This window comes from Homo sapiens, chromosome 3, assembly GCF_000001405.40.
Source record: "Homo sapiens chromosome 3, GRCh38.p14 Primary Assembly".
NCBI lineage: Eukaryota > Metazoa > Chordata > Mammalia > Primates > Hominidae > Homo > Homo sapiens.
This window is the reverse complement of record NC_000003.12, coordinates 131,781,918-131,798,454: the sequence shown is the minus strand read 5'-3', so window position 1 is coordinate 131,798,454 and position 16,537 is coordinate 131,781,918. Positions and strand designations below refer to the sequence as shown.

The following is a 16,537-nucleotide window of genomic DNA, read 5'->3' as shown; positions in this document are numbered from 1 at the left end:
TTATGGTGTGATATACTTAAGGGTAGAAACAATATCCTATTTAGCTTCCCATTGTCTTGTACAGGTCATGAAACAGAGTAGGCCCCTGGTGGTGACTGAATGAGCATTGCCTGCATCTCCACACATACATCTTAATTGGCAGATACTTGTGAGTGAGGCCTCTGAAGAGTGTTCATTTCATAATTACGGCACAGGTTCAATGATAGAGCACCTGAGGTCCTATGTCCCATAATTGGCTATTTGTGGGTGTTATAGACTGAATGTGTTCCCCCTCCCAAATACATATGTTGAAGTCCTAACCCCCAAAGTGATGGTATTTGAAGATAAGGCCTCTGAGGAGGTTATAAATGTTAAAGGAGGTCATAAGGGTGGGACCCTAATCTGATAGGGCTGGTGCCCTTATAAGAAAGAAAGAGCCACCAGAGGTCTCTTTCTCAGTCATTTGAGGACATAGCAAGAGAGCAGTTGTCTGCAAACCAGGAAGAGAACCCTCACTGGGAACCAAATTGGCGGGTACCTATATCTTGTACTTGCCAGCCTCCAGAGTATGTGTAAATTTAAACCACCCAGTCTGTGGTATTTTATTATGGCAATTTGAGCTGAGTAATGCATGGGGTAATTTTATTCACTGAGTGCACTTGTAGACAGGCCTCTACACAGCTCATTCAGTGAGTTTTGATGTAAAAGGCATCGATGTGTTATATCTGAGCAGGATAGCTTATATATCTCAGAACATCTACCTTAGTGTTAGTGCACGATTACCAACCAGATTGCCATTGCTAGATGGAGGATAATACTTAACCCAGCCTTGTGTATCTATTGTATTTAAAGTGTCAGTAAAGTTTATAACTAGAGTTTCTCATTTCCGTGGTCCTAGTTCCTGCAGAATAGATGAAAACATGTAATGAGCTGTCCTGAGTGTTAGCCTTTTCTGGGATGTACATTTGGCAAGCTTGCAATACAATGTAAGTGCAGTTTCTGGTAGAATCTCTAGCGAACACTTTTGGCCACACTCTGGGAGTTCTCTGTGACAAAATGAACTGGTTAGTCTGGATTAGTCAGTGCTGTAAACCAGTCACCATGATGGTCCCTTCATGCTTCAAAAATCATGGAAAGAGCCCCAGTAAATTGGAGATTTCCTGTACTGCCTTTACCCAGAAGCCACCTCTTGCCAGAGTTCAGGGCCCCTTACTCAGAAAATATTAAATCTGAGAAAAGATTGAAGCTAGGTCATTGCAAATCATGAGGGGTGTAAAGTATTCTGCTTTGAGCCCATCCCTCCTTGACAAATAAAAAACGCCAAGAAAGATGTGCTTGATGGGGCCAGCATCTCAATCTAGAATTCAGACTTTCATAGCTGAAGAATATCAAAGCCACTGTGACCTATGGAGTTTATACAGCATGGGGTAAAGCTGAAGTGAAGACATGTCTAGAGGTTGCAGGTGACTGGCCCTATCAGGAGTAAATAGAAACCATTCTGCCCTTTCCAAAGAAAGAGAGAACAGTCTGCTGGTTGAAGGCAAAGCATTGTTACTTTTGCAAAGAAAGTTAAACTTGCCAACGTCATTAGATGAAAAGACTATGTGTGTATTATTCTAACCACAAAGCAATGGCAGTGAGAGGAAGGCTCCTGCCAGCTGCTTCAGTGAGCCACAGTGGCACTGATGCTCTTTGAGTGGGAGGTTTCTGTTCATTTGCAAATGCGATGACATTTTCAGCTTTTTGTACCAGGAACGGAAGCACCTTGGGAAGCTTGTGGTTGAATGCATTCTCCCTAGAGAGCAGCAAATTAGGTTAAATTCATTTACTGATGGAGGCTCCAGGGGAAGGGGGACCCTGGGGAGGAGGGGGCAGATGATGTGTGGCAGTGACTTATTCTAGTTTGAATTGACTTAGAAAAAATGTATTTATTTGCTTCCTTTCTCCAACCTTCATCATTTCCTCCAAAGACTGCAAGCATAGACTTATACAACATGTCCTCTTTGCAGAAAGCTGTGAGGTGGTTGTGTGCTCTTGACCTGAGGGAGCAGGCCCAGAATCAATGAATGTGTGTGTAATTAAACTCCAGGGGATGAGACACCCGACTTCATCCAAATTAGAGATTCAATTCAACAGCAAGTTTGATAAAAAGGGAGGTCGGTAGTGACCAAACTAACCCTGCTACGTCGTTAACGAGGCTGAAGATGATTCCAAAATGGCTTAATGTGGCAGAAGTCTTCTCACAAGATGGCTATGATTCAAATAACCTTGGACAGCTGTGATGGAAGAGCAAATAAATAGCTCCTTTTACAAAAAAAAAAAACTCTGTCATCTCCTCTAGCCAAAGATATTAGAGCCCAGAGGAACCTTATTTGGTGCTGAGTCCACCCTTTCAATTTCCAAAAGAGAAAAGAACTCTGATAAGTTAAATGACTCCCATGGAATTGGAGATGTCAACTGAAGAATGATGAGGTTCATAAATGTGGAAACAAGAGCTTTATTTCTCATAAAGCGTTGCAACCTGCATGGTGGCCATTCTGACAGACTGGGAAGCATAGCCTCTGGCCAGGAGCCAAAAACAGACTCTTCAAGGGAGGAGAAAAGGGAACAGGAGTGTGTGCTGAGGTGGCCACATTTACATATTTAGTGAGCTATAAGAGGAGTCATAAATATTTTTAAAAGGAGAAACACACACATTCACAACTGAGCTTCATGATTCTCCAGGGGACCCATGTTCAAAATACAGCCTTGTTAGCGTGACCCGAGGGTGGTGTTTTCAGCCCTCTGATGACAAATGTGAAGCACAGGACACAAAAGCCCCTAATGTACACCCTCCATAGACTGGCCAGAACCACTTCATAGTCTGTGGTCTCTTATCAGGAAGAAATGCTGGTCAGCTGTTTTGTTAAAACCACAAAAGGGAGGGGCAGTCATTACTGGTTAGTTGATATCAGTGGTAGAGTCTCTGTAAAGGGCTGGTTTCTGTTTGGTCCTTAGGGAAGAAAGCTTAATGGTGATTATCAAGGGAGGGGATATTACAAGGAATGTCTGACCTCACATACTGTCATGACTGAGAACTCAATTTTCAAGATTACTCTGAGGTCCCCTTGGCCAAGAGGGGTTCTGTTCAGTCAGTTGGTGGATTTGGGATCTCATTTTTATTTCTCAGAGGCTTTTATTAATATGTTTCTCTGTGCTTTGATGCTTATGCCTCTCACTCTGTAATTCTGAACCCAACCATTGCCCTATAGGCGGTGTCTACAAACCAGGGGTCATCCAACAGTAACAATAAGAATATTTCCAAGTGCTGACGGAAAGAGCTCTAGATTTTTTTTGTCAACTCACTAGCAGATATTTGACTCACTGGAAGATTTTCTGCTGGGATAGAATATTTCACCTCTCTCAATAGCGGAGTTTTCATCTGCAAAATAAAGCAATAAACAACTAACCAAAATAGTAGTACTGCCATGGCTAAGCCACGACAGATGGCAGTGTTGCAGAAATAGGAAAAATGTTCCCTCTGGTGGTTGAAGATGGGAAACACACCCTTTCCTCTGGGCTGACTTTGCCCTAAGGAAGGCGACTGCCTTGGTGAGGGACTGAGTTTCATTCCCCAAGCTTTCATCCAGGCACACTTTTATAGCACACAAGCTACACACTCATATGTGGGAACTCTGGTACTCAACTACCTAGTACTCAAGCCTCAACTACCCAGGGAGTTAAGGGAGAACATAAGGAAGAACATCTACCTGTAAAAGTACGTTGTAAGTTTTAGCACTCCTTATCAATGCAAGTCCTATTAAGATATTGAAAGTGGAGGAATACAGGAAGATCCTTTATAGCAAAATTGGGCTTGGATATCTAAGTTGAAATTCATTCTACCACTAAGGGCTTTATACCAAAGTCAACCACATCCCTAGAAATGCAGTGTCCAGCTGGGTGTGGTGGCTCACGCCAGTAATCCCAGCACTTTGGGAGGCCGAGGTGGGTGGATCACAAGGTCAAGAGATCGACACCATCCTGGCCAACATGGTGAAACCCCATCTCTACTAACAGTACAAAAATTAGCTGGGCATGGTGATGCGCGCCTGTAGTGCCAACTACTCAGGAGGCTGAGGCAGGAGAATCCCTTGAAGCCAGGAGGAGGAGGTTGCAGGTTGCAGTGAGCTGAGATGATGCCACTGCACTCCAGCCTGGCAACACAGCAAGACTCCATCTAAAAAAAAAAAAAAAAGTTGTTTCCAAAATTGAACTGGATTTTCAATGAGTATTTTCTTGAGAAAGTTCCCTGAAGGATGATCATAAAGGTCTGTATGTCAGGATACATCCCAAGGAGAAGTGTCATTCCTCAGAGGCAGTCAGAGATGACTCCTGTTTGCATGGCATGTTAAGACCTTGATAATCCTGCATACATATGCATACATTCTTACAGTCACTGTCCCAGTGAATTATAATTATTTGAATAAATATGCATGTAAACATGAGTTAAAAAGCTAACTTGATAATTCTGTTGCTTCTTAGGATGGCTACATACCACAGGCAAGAAAATGGGAGAGCAACCACTGACAAGCTCATAGAAACAGGGCATGTGATATGTGAGTGACTGGAGAATGCAAGGAGTAACTCCTGACATGAGGACTCTAATCTCATGTATACAGACATGAAGGTTTACAAGTCTGTTGCCCTCTTCTCTGACTCTCTTCTCTTTAAAGAGGTGATATTTGAGCGGAGACCTGGGTGATGAGAAGGAGCCAGCCAATGTGCCAATCTGAGTATTAAATATTCCAGAAAGAGGAAATAGCCAGTGAAAAAGTCCATAGGCAGGTACAAATTCTGTGTGTTTTAAAAAAGAAATAGATTTGTATATTTGGATCTTAGTGAGTGAGAGAGATAGTGACTATGTATCAGAAATGCAGATGCTCCACCTACAGAAATTCCAAATCAACTAGTCTAGGGTGGTGCCCAGGCATCGGTGTTTGGGATTTTTGGTTGTTGTTGCTGCTGCTGTTGTTGATCTTGTTGTTATTTTAGGTTCTCCCAGTAATTCTAATCACAGACTAAAGATAACTGATATAGAGCTTTATAGGGTATGGGAAAAAGTTTGGCTTCTAAGAACTATAGAAAACCACAAAGAATTTTAAGCAGGGGAGTGATGTGATACAATCCATGATTAAAATTTCCCTCTTGATCCTGTGTAGAAGATGGATTGAAAGAGGAAAGGGTGGCAAGAATGAGGAAAACTGTGAGTAGGCAGTGGCAAATATCCATGAAGTCACTCTTGGTCTAGTGGAGAAAAAAATGGAAGGCTATGAGAAATGTTATTAAGGTGTTGTCCTTCACAGCTTTACCTAAAATGTTTATTTGCTGATGGATTGGATTAGATTTTGGGGTATGGGAAAAGACGAATGACCAACAGAATTTTGATTTAAGCAACTCAGTGCATTGTGGGGCCACTTATAGAAACAAAAGACACTGTGGTGTCACATGGGTGCACATGGGAGAAGGGAGTGGAAAAAACAATTCTGGTTTTGGCATGTTTTGTTGGAGATACACACACACACACACACACACACACACACACACTGGAAATACCTACACTGTAAATATATATGTGTGTATGTATGTATGTATATACACACACGCACTCATTATACACACACACTCCACATATATATACAATATATACATATATACACACACATATACATATATAGTGTGTGTATATATATACATATATACACACGTGTATATATATACATATATACACGTGTGTGTATATGTATATATACACGTGTGTATATATGTATATATACACGTGTGTATATATACATATATACACGTGTGTATATATATATACATATATACACACACACATATACATATATATATGTATGAGATTTCCAGTGTAGGTATCTGGTCGGCAGGTACACATTGGGATATTCACATTGGGAACTTAGGAGAGAGATCAGGTATATGTATAAACATTTGAGTTTATATGGTATATAGATGGTATTTCATGCCATAGGTTGAGATTTCTTCAAGAGCAAATGTGGACATAGTTTTCGGGTATGGTAATGTTTAGGGCATCCAAGGCAAGTAAGCACTTTTTGGGTGAATTAAAATTGAGTATAAATACTCTGTGCAGAACACTCTTACACTGGTATTAAAATATCTTTCCTGAAAATGAAAAGGAATCTGAAGTGGAAGAAAATGGAACTAAAGAATTTATTATATATAATTTTGCTGATTGATTTTTCTCTTATAAAAGAAATTGGATGGAAACATATATGAGAGGGGGGCAAGAATAAACTTTTCAATGGCAACACCCCTATATCATTTCATGTTATAGTAGCCAAATCTACCAAAGAGAATCATTGCAACCATTCCTGCCTCATGTCTCTTCCCAGGCTGGTCCTCTCTGCCAGGAAATACATAGGCATTTTCTGGTCCTAGTTTCCTTAAATTCTGATGCAAGCAGAAAATTGCCAGTTCTGTTACTGAGTAATTATAGCCCTATATCTGAAATAACTTAATGAGGTCTTCTAGCAGCCTTAATGCCAGACTTAATAATGAAATGAGTCCTCCACCAACATGGCCCCAAGGCACCAAGTGGCCGTGGGGTTGGGGCTTCCCAGAGAATCATGAGAAATTTCTCCATCCTGCAAGTGTATCAATAATTTACCTGCCTTCCCAATCTTATATGATCTGTTAATTGATTCACCTAAGTAACAGACTTCAAATCGGGAAACACCACCCCTGGGGCAAAGTGATGATTTTCTGAAGAGTACGCAGTCAGGGCTTAATTTGCAGATCTTCCAGTTCCATCTGTACTGTTTCCTAAAATTGAACTGCCTAAGAACTCATACTTCTTACGCTTTTTCAAATAAAGTAAGCTTGTCAGCACTGGGACACTGTCTATAATGACAGTAAACCCTGTGGTTTACTGAAACCTTCCAAGTGCTAAACAAGGGGCCATTTGAAATATTAGTTTAGGTGTTGAGAAAATGGATAACTATCCTGATTCAGTAATCAAATCTTTCTGAAAGTCAGGTTTTCCAGTTCTTTTCTTTCCACAAAATTGAAGGTAGACCTCATTGACTTGTCAGTTGTTGGATGACTAAAAATAATTTTTGCTGATGAATCACTGTGGTTTTGATATACAACTTGGAAAAAGTGCAAAAAAAAGAGTGACAAGGCTATTACAAAACTTCCATTCATGTCAATTTATTTATAAGAAAAAATTTCTCAGTTGTAAGCATTTATTAAAATGAAAAATAGGAATGTACTTGAGGCTGAATCTCATTTATCCTAGTGGTTGGTCATATTTATTCATGGATACATTAAGTAATTGTGGGAGGAGTAGCCATTCATCTCATTAAAGCTGCATGCTGAATTATAATTTTAAATCCAGTAATCATCAAAATGTAGACTATAATTTATTGTTTTGATCAATGTTGTACTTAAAATTGTAATGAAAACTCAATCCAAACAAAAATCTTTAACACTTTGAGTTATGGAAATTTTTTTTGGTAAAGATTACTAAAGACTGCACAATAAAACATGTTAAAGCATAAAATTGTATTGTATTAGGCTAAAATTCTATGAGGAAAATAAAATGGAAATACTGTTTGAAGGGGCAAAAGGAAGGTTACAAAATTTGTTAAAGAAGGCAAATTTGTATGTTTTTGTATTTGTGTATACAAATCAGTGGGGTTTTTTTCTCAAATAAATGATAGGATTTAATCACTATGGCATCAAATTATCACTCTTCAAATGACAGCTGAGGAGCACCTAACTGAGCTGGCAAGAGAAGTCAAGAAAGAGTTTCAGATGAGGTGATGCCACAGCTGAGTCTCAGAAGACAAGCAGGAATTCACAGGGTGAAGAAAAGAAGGGCAGGATTTCTAGACTGAGGGTGCATCTGGCTTTCCCAAATAGCCCTCATGAGGCTTGGCCTGTATAGAGAAATTTAAATTTCTCAGTTAGACTCCTAAGAAAGGTGCCTGTTAGAGCCAGGCAAGGAGTGACTGGCAAACAAAATGAGCAATTTTGGGGTAGGGGGTATCCAGACAGGTCCCAATTGGCCTGCAGAACAAAGAAGCACCCCTGGGGAAGGTGAGCTTTGGCTAAGCAGCTTAGTTAATTTTTAGATGTCCCTGTGTTCCTAAAACTCTGTGACAGAAAGACTTGGGTATTTACTGCTTTGTGAGCACAGGAGTTAGCATAGTCTTTCATTAAAGGTCAAACCAACCCAGGGAGAAGTATATAAGTCCCATATCTGGCTGGCAGGAAAAGGAGACAGGACCTTGAATTTTCAAAAGTGTGCATATATGAATCCAAGTTGGCATTATACTGCCAGGCTGCCTGAAATGGATAGGTAGAATGGGTAGGTGGTATTAGGGAGAAGAAACACGATTCTCCTTGATTTCCTCTCCTATTTCTTGTCATCCAATGTCCACTAAATGATCTGACAAGGGGAGGTGGTTAGAAGGAGAATGGAATTAGAGGAAGAAAACAGACATAGATTGAGTGCCTACTTACATGCTTTAAACTTCAGCACCATATAATCCTTGAACTCCTGGGCTAGATGTAGGGCTCCTTCTTTGTGCTTCTAAGGTTGCTTGTGCAGAATTCTAACTTGATTTTCTCTATTCTGCAGGGATTTTTTTTCCTTGTGTATATGCCCCCTCAAAATCAAGACTTTCTTAAAAACAGAGGTTATATATTCTAACATTCTGGACCCCTAACACAGGACTTAGCCTAGTAGGCACTCAAATGCTTAATTAACTGAATTTTATTTCTTCAGTGGTGTTTTACATTAAATGCCTCATTGAATAATCATAGCAAACAGTGACATAGTGTGCAGCATGTACTGGTATTGCTTTACATGCTCACTAACCTGCATAATCCTCCTAAAACCCTGTAAAGTGGCAACTATTATGATCTCCCATTAAATAGAGGGACATCAAGTGACACAAAGGTTAAATAACTTGGCCATGGTTTCACAACTAGTGGTAGCAGAGCTAAAATTTGAACCAAGGCAGTCTAGCTCCCAAGTCTGTGCTTTGACTTGTTGCTATATCACATTGTTCCTGCCACACTACTATTAGGTGGATATTTATAACCTCATTTTGTAAAAGAAGAATGTGAGTCTCTGAGAGTACAAGGGCGTCAGTCACCCAAGACACACAGCTAGTAATTGACAGGTCTGGGATTTAGATTCAAACATGTGCAGTTCCATATTTACTATACTCTAGAGCAATGTGTACGTCTCCAGAACAGGAACCATTATCTTAAGTATTTTGACTGAGGAAAGTGAAAGGATGTAGGATGAGTAGCCTAAGATGGGTGGCTGGTAAACACCCAGGACCAGGTGGAAGTTTCCTTTATTATTAGCCTCTTATGTAAAAGTCTTTCTCTCTCTCTCTCTCTCTCTCTCTGTGTGTGTGTGTGTGTGTGTGTGTGTGTGTCTGGTTGAGTTCTCTGAATATCATTAATATGTGCACAGTGTGAAAATTTTAAGAATAAAGAAAAGAATGTGGAAAAACCATAATTGTCATCATTCTACCATCCCGACATAATCATTGCTAATAATTTCTGTTAGTATTATATATATATGTGTGTATGTATAAATATAAGTAAATTTAAATTCACAGTTTATATTTGACTTTTTTCCACTTAACGTTATAGCCTCAGAATTTTCTAATTTCATTAAAAATCCTTCAACTGTGTGATTTTTAATCGCTGCACAGTAATTGGATAAATCATTATTTAATCCTAATTCCCTTATTATTGGATATTTATCACTGTTTATATCTTAGATAATTTCTTTAGGGAAAACATTTAAAAGTAGACTGGTTGGATGAAAGACTTTATGCATATAGACAAAGTGTCCTCAAGAAAAGTTGTATAAATTTACTCTGCCACCAAATCTATAAGTAAATTCCATCTCCCCAACCTTTGTCAACATTGAGTATTACCTTTTTAAAATCTATCACTTAGGTACCTAAAAAACTTTCCCCTCGGTTTTAAAATTGTAACTCATTGATTATTAAAGAGGCTAAACTTTTTCTGTTATGCTCTTCATCATTTGTATTTTTTCTTTTTGAAATTGTACATTCAATATCATTTGCCATTTTTTTCCATTCGGGTATTTTTATTAATTAATCAGCATGCATAACTTCTTTATTTATTAAGAATATGACTTGATCTGGTAAAAATATTTTTTCAATTGTTTATTTGTCTTTTGTTTTTTTAAATTCCAATTGCTCATTTGTCTTTAAATTTGAGCAGATTTTTCTTGTATATGGAGGTTTAAAAATTATGTCTGAAAACTATGAATTTCTTTTGTAGGCTCCTCATTTGCTTCTAAAATTTGAATACCTCAAAATCAGAATCATATTTACCTATGTTTTCTTAGACTTAGGGTTTTAATTTTTATATTTAAAAATTTGGTACATTCGCCATTCATTTTGAAGCATGTATGATACAAGTGCTAATTAATCTTTTTCTCTCAATAATTACTCAAAAATGATATATTGGACAGTCCTTTTTCCTGTGGTTCTTAGACAATTCTCTCCTAGTGTTTTATTGAACAAACATCTGCACCACCTTTATAAGATAAAGGGCACTGTGATATGTCCTGTACGGTCTTCAGATTCATAGTTTCCAGATTCTGCCTTCCAGGAACTTATCACCAAGTAGGGGAAAGTCAAGCTACCAAATTAACTCTTACACAAGATGGAAGTAAGAGAGAAGGCAGACATCTTGGTAATTGCCTAAAGTTTCTATCACAAGAGTGATGAAATTGCATGGCCAGTTACTCTCATGTGTTACTCAGAGATGCACCACCCAGATCCTCCTTCAAGAAAAGTTGATGCCCAGCTTTAGGAAGGGTGATCATCAGAGAGCCTTCAGCCGCCAGATCCATCAGGGTCTGCCTTGGTTGCAGAACACCTCACACAAGCTCTGCCCTTTGCGGGGCATCCAGTCAGTAAATTAGTGGGGCTGGGATATAAAAAGCCTTGTCATGTGGGCTAACACAGAGCAATTCTGACAGATCGTATTTGCTCCAGAGCTCCCCACCAGGTTGGCCAAGACTTCATCAACCCCGCATTGCAGTTCATCTTCTCCCTCTGCTGAATCCTGTTATTTCTGTTTCTTCCATAGATGCTAATCCCTAATAAATATCTAACCCCCTAAATCTACTTCAACATCTGCTTCTGCAGAAGTCAATCTGTGACATCCAGCATCTCCCTCCCCATGTATTGCTCTAGACCAAGTTGGCAAATCAGCCCTTCCAAGGTGTCTATAAAAACTTAATTCTGGAGACCCAGGAGAAATCTTACAAATGACTTTGGTGTACCAGGAAATGAACTGAAGCATGATGGGTGCATCAATTAGCAAGTAATTTGAATTTAAAATGTGTGAAGATACAAATAGAGAGGCAGAAGTTCAAGTCGATAATAACTGATGTGTTCACAGAAGGTGTGCAGGAAACCGTCTGGCAGTCAGAGAGAGCATGTGCTGGTGCTAACTTCTCAGAATGTGATTGTAGAAGGATAGCATCATTCCTTCATATCCAAAGAGAAGACTTTTTATTTTCCCCAGACAATACAAATATGATTTCTAAATGGTTGCTGTGTAATAACACCTAATATTTACAGAGCACACTATGGGCCAAGCACTGCGCCATGTACTTTTTAAGGATATTCTCACTTAATCTTCATATTGTACATTATTTGTACCATTCCTATTTTCTTAGAAAGTTTAATTATCTTGCCCAATGTCATAAACACTGGAAGTGGTGGGGCAAGAATATGTATGTACCTCATCAGCCTAAATACTGCTTTACCCTAGGTGCCTTGGCCACTAATCAACTGTGTGACCTTCAAAAGTTACTCTCACTTCTGCTTCTCAGAAATAGACATATAAGTGTTTATCTCATGGAGTTATTTGGATGATTACATTAGAAAAGGTAATGTAAAGCCCCTAAAATTTTATCTGTCACAAAGTAAATTCTCCACAAATGTCAGTTGTCAATATCAGTGTTATTTTTAGATGTCCTACATGAATTTCCATATTGTCTGAAGTATGTTTCACTTCTAATAAGGGATCACACATGAAAAGTACTCAGAAACTTCCAGTCACTCTGGCAAACTCATCTGACATATAAAGAACTCTGTCTTCCAAACACAAAGAAATACTAGACAACATAAATGTATAAAGTAAACACAAAGCTGAGTTTGAAGGTAAGGCAAGGCAATTCTCGGTGCCAGAAATGAAGAAGAGGAACAAAGCCAGATTTCTGGGCAGAAGCTATTGATGACCAGATCATAAAGCTATAAGATCTAATTATTAGCCCTCAGACCTGGAGAGCTGGTGCTTTAACCAATGCCTACCTTCATGTAAAACAAGAGAAGAGGCTTTGGGCCTTGCGGTTAAGCCCCTCCATAGATATGGAAGTTACCCTGATTAGAGAATGAAGAAAGGAACCTGGCAAAGAAAGCATCATGAAAGCTGGTCATATATGGGAGTACTTAACATAGTTCTGATTTATACTATCTGAATACGCAAAGGCCCAAATCAAGATAACAATATATAAAACATGTATCCTAGAACTTATGGCTTCCTTAAGGTCTTGGCAGAAGCAAACATAAAACCCATGCATTAGGGACACCTCCAAACCCTGAGCACCCAGACTCACAAGAAATACAATTCCTGCTGAAGATGATCTCACAGACAAAATGACAAAACACCAGGGAATAAGCCACCATGAGAGAGAGAGAGAGAGAGAGAGAGAGAAAGAGAGAAAGAGAGAGAGAGAGTGCTGGCAGATGTAACAAACTGTCACATTTTTACCCGAAGAACAAGAAGTAATAAGACAATCTGAAATTAAAGGAAGTATTTTCAAAACATACACTAAGTCAAGAGGAGAGAAACAATAAGAAAAAAAATAAGAAAGAATGGAAATAGCAGCTCTGGAGATTGGGGGAGCCATGGAGTAAAGGACTGGGAGAAACCAAGTGGTCATGGCGTCACAGTAGGCCTCATGGGGAAGGTGAAAAATAAGCAGAAACATGAAGGAGGTGAGGGAGGTAATGAAGCCGGTATCTGGAAGAAGAGAGTTGCAGGTGTTGGAAACAAAGGAAGCCTTCAAGGCAGGACTATAGCTTGTATGTTTGAGGATAGCAAAGAGGGCAGGATAGCTGAAGAGTGTGACCAAGGAGAAGAGTTAAATTACTTAATCTCCCTAAGCCTCAGTTTACTCAGCTATAAAGTGGGGAATATGTACTTCTCAGAATTGCAAGGATTAAATAATTTAAGCAAAGGAGCCATGTCTATGGGACAGTACTGGTCTGGATCCTTTATGTCTGCTATGTCCTCACACCAAGCCTCTGAGTTAGGTCTTAATATCTCCATTCTACACATATAGACACAGAGGCTCCAAGAAGTTAAAGATATTGACCACAAAAATAGTGAGAGGTGCAACTGGGATTTAGACACAAGCCCATTTGTCTCTAAATCCCAAGTTCTTTCTACAGTCTTCATGTGAAATAGCCAAATGCAGTGATGGGTATATAGTAGGAGATTGGTTGCAATAATTCCATTTTTTAATTAACTTGAACCAGATATATCAGTAATAGATTCTGTCTTAGTTTTGGTGCCCCTCAAAGTAGAGCCTAAGGCAAATATTAGAATATAGGTATGTTATTTGAGGGGTGATGTCAGAAAGCAAGAATTAAGAAATGGGGAAAGTGAGACAGGGAAGAAAATAAAAAAGATTGTGGAAGACTGTTACTACTATGGGCATCTGAAGCCCAATCCCACTGGAGACTTTTTGAGGAGCTATGTAGAATGCACCTCAGAATTTTCCCTCCCAAGGCAGAGATGCTCAGACGTTAACCCTTCAGTTTTTGAATCTCATGGGTTCAGGGTTACCCCTCAATGTGATAATTCACCCACACTTGCAGGCTGCCTCCTACATGAATTCTCATAGTGTCAGAGAAAATTCAGAGGCTGAGAAGCAAAGAGATGCAAAGGCTTATGGCTGTCTGCCACAGTTGCGGCAGAAATCAGAGGTGGGTTGGGGCAGAAGTGAGGGTGCTATAAATTATTCTATTTTATATTAGGTACCAGTGCAGGAACCAAAGAGAAGGAATCACCTACAGACCTATACTGATTTACTAAGAGGAAAATTTTATAATAGTCAGAAACACTCAAAGATAGAACAAAGGGCTAGGAAGTAATATCGCCCTGCATAGAAAGTGCCAAGCAGGGAGGCTTATTGGTCAGGAACTCAATCATTGGTCAGACAGGTGGACCAGTTAGCTTTTAGGAACATTCCAACCCTGAGAGTCTATGACATTGTTTATTAAATATACACTATTTGTCGTAAAATGTCAGCACAAGTGAGAGTTAAAAACCTTAAAACTATATTGTATATTTGCTGAGCAAAATTTCTCTGAGAAGTTCAAATTACTTTCCTATGGTGTCAGAACTTTGGGACTTCTCACCGTACTTCAGCTAAATAAATCATCCTGGAAAACCTGAAATAGAATCTGACTTCTGTTGTTCCCTGGGCAGTCTGTGGTGTAGATCACTGGACTCAGCTCTCTTGTCCTTTGACCAGAATGTCTGGTCAGTATGGATAAGCAATAGGAGATGACCTTGCTGAATTACATTAGCTTGCTTTCCATCACAGCTTTGCCCCTTTTTCCTGTCCCCAAGCAATAGGTTTAAGAGCACAGTTTTTGAAGTCAGATGGTGCTGGCTTTGACTGAAGCACAAAATGAACTTAATAAGAGGATATCAATATACCCCAGTGAACTTAGGAGAACTGGAGAATCAGGCTTGAACCATACAACCAGGCTGCAAAAATGGTATCACAAAAAAAAATCAAAGTCACTAAGCATTAGACACTAAGGCTTCCATCATTGCCAGTTCTGTGCTGGGAATTTCATTTTGTGACAATTACTACTGCCACCACCTCCAGAGAAAAAGCTCTACTTTAACCTAAGTCAAAATCCAGCCCAGGTCATCTGATGGCAGAACCCAAGTGTTACAACTGCTTTAACCTTCAATAGAGGCTGGAAAATCCCCCATCAAGATTTATAGGTAACTAACACAGAAGGGGAGCTCAGACATGGATGGCCAAAACTGATGCCCATTATTCACTACTAGGCCTATCTCATAGGGTGGTTGAGAAGATCAGATATGATATTGTAAGCACTAAAAATTAGTACTTGCTTATTATAGTGGAGGTTCCAGGCTTTATCTTAAGAGGACATAGGGATTAGAGGAAAAGCCAAAATGCTTATTCCAAGGCTTGCATTTGTCGTTTTAATTTTTATCAGCATTAGTGAAATGGTTTCTTTCTTCTTTTTATGGGTACTCACACTGATGACATTGCCATCATTGAAGATGGCTGGAGCTAAGCTGTACACAAAATCATTGTGGTTTTCTCTCCCAGCCAGGATTCTTAAACCATGATAAGCAGATTGTCTCCTTGACAACTATAACTGAGCCCCTCTCAAGAGTTGGCCACAAGGTTCTTGCTTATTACTGCCTACTTATCTAAGGTCAGCAGCATGGGGCCAAACACCTGGCAGCCTCCAAGCCAGGAGGTGCATATGTCTCATAAAATCTATGAGGACTCACTTCACTGAGAAGAGATGGATTTTATCATTTTCTTTTATGGAAAAGTTTAGCATTGCATAAAATCACAAGAGCAGAAAATACGATTTTCTACATCTGCAGAAAATGGTAGATGTACATTTCTATTCATCATCATTCCCTATGAAGGAAACCTAAATCTCTGCCCTTCTGTTGCCATTTTTTCACCATATATTATATTCCCTAGTAGAACATTTTAAATCTAGTGCCTAATTCCAGAAATCATGTAGAGCCTCTTTGAAATAAGATTAATCTTCTCAAGATAACTAGGAGCAATGTACTTTACTGTGTATGTGTGTGTGTATGCATGTGTGTGCATGTGTGTGTGTGTATTACTTTAAATCGATGAAATAAACGGAACTGAATTTATATATGTCTAAAGTGCATCACATGTGCAAAGGTAAGAAATTATTAAATTCTTCAATAAAATTCTAAAGTGTTCATAACATATGACCTGCTAGTGAACATTAAATGTTTGAATAGAGATGAGACAGTAATAGTAAATAAAAAATCTTTTGCATTGGCTGTTTCCTTTCACTAAGACATTATATTTTTATTTTGAATTTTAGAAACTGTCATCTTCAGAATTGGCCAAATTGATTATTCTCTTTACATGCTACAAAGCTTGACCTCCTTGGTTGGAAGTCCTTAGAGTTTTGAAGATACTTAAGAGCATATTGAATGGAAGAAACAAAGAAAGGCAGAAATATAAAAGTAGTGGTATTTTTAAAATACATGTAACCATTCCAAAGCACTTTCTTATTAATTATCTCATATTCTCACGTTCTCATTCATTCATTCACTCACTCAAGCATTTAACAGACAACTCTTGAGCACCCTCTCTGTGCCAAAATCAGCAGTAGACACTTAGAGGTGGCAATCA

At 39.0% G+C, this 16,537-nt stretch overlaps 1 protein-coding gene across 9 annotated transcripts in view, besides 2 other annotated features; it reads left to right on the top strand.

The window, feature by feature from the left end:
- Window positions 1-16,537, top strand: part of CPNE4 (copine 4) — a 506,038-nt gene that overhangs the window by 241,152 nt on the left and 248,349 nt on the right. The gene's annotated exons all lie outside the window — the stretch shown is intronic.
- Window positions 1,405-1,941: an enhancer, noted in NCBI's record as "OCT4-NANOG hESC enhancer chr3:131515358-131515894 (GRCh37/hg19 assembly coordinates)". NCBI's record gives its function as "activates a minimal SCP1, AML or CMV promoter by ChIP-STARR-seq in primed H9 embryonic stem cells {active_cell/tissue: H9 hESC(primed)}" and the evidence as "EXISTENCE:reporter gene assay evidence [ECO:0000049][PMID:30033119]".
- Window positions 1,762-1,811: an enhancer, noted in NCBI's record as "active region_20535". NCBI's record gives its function as "activates an Ori minimal core promoter by ATAC-STARR-seq in GM12878 lymphoblastoid cells {active_cell/tissue: GM12878}" and the evidence as "EXISTENCE:reporter gene assay evidence [ECO:0000049][PMID:35858748]".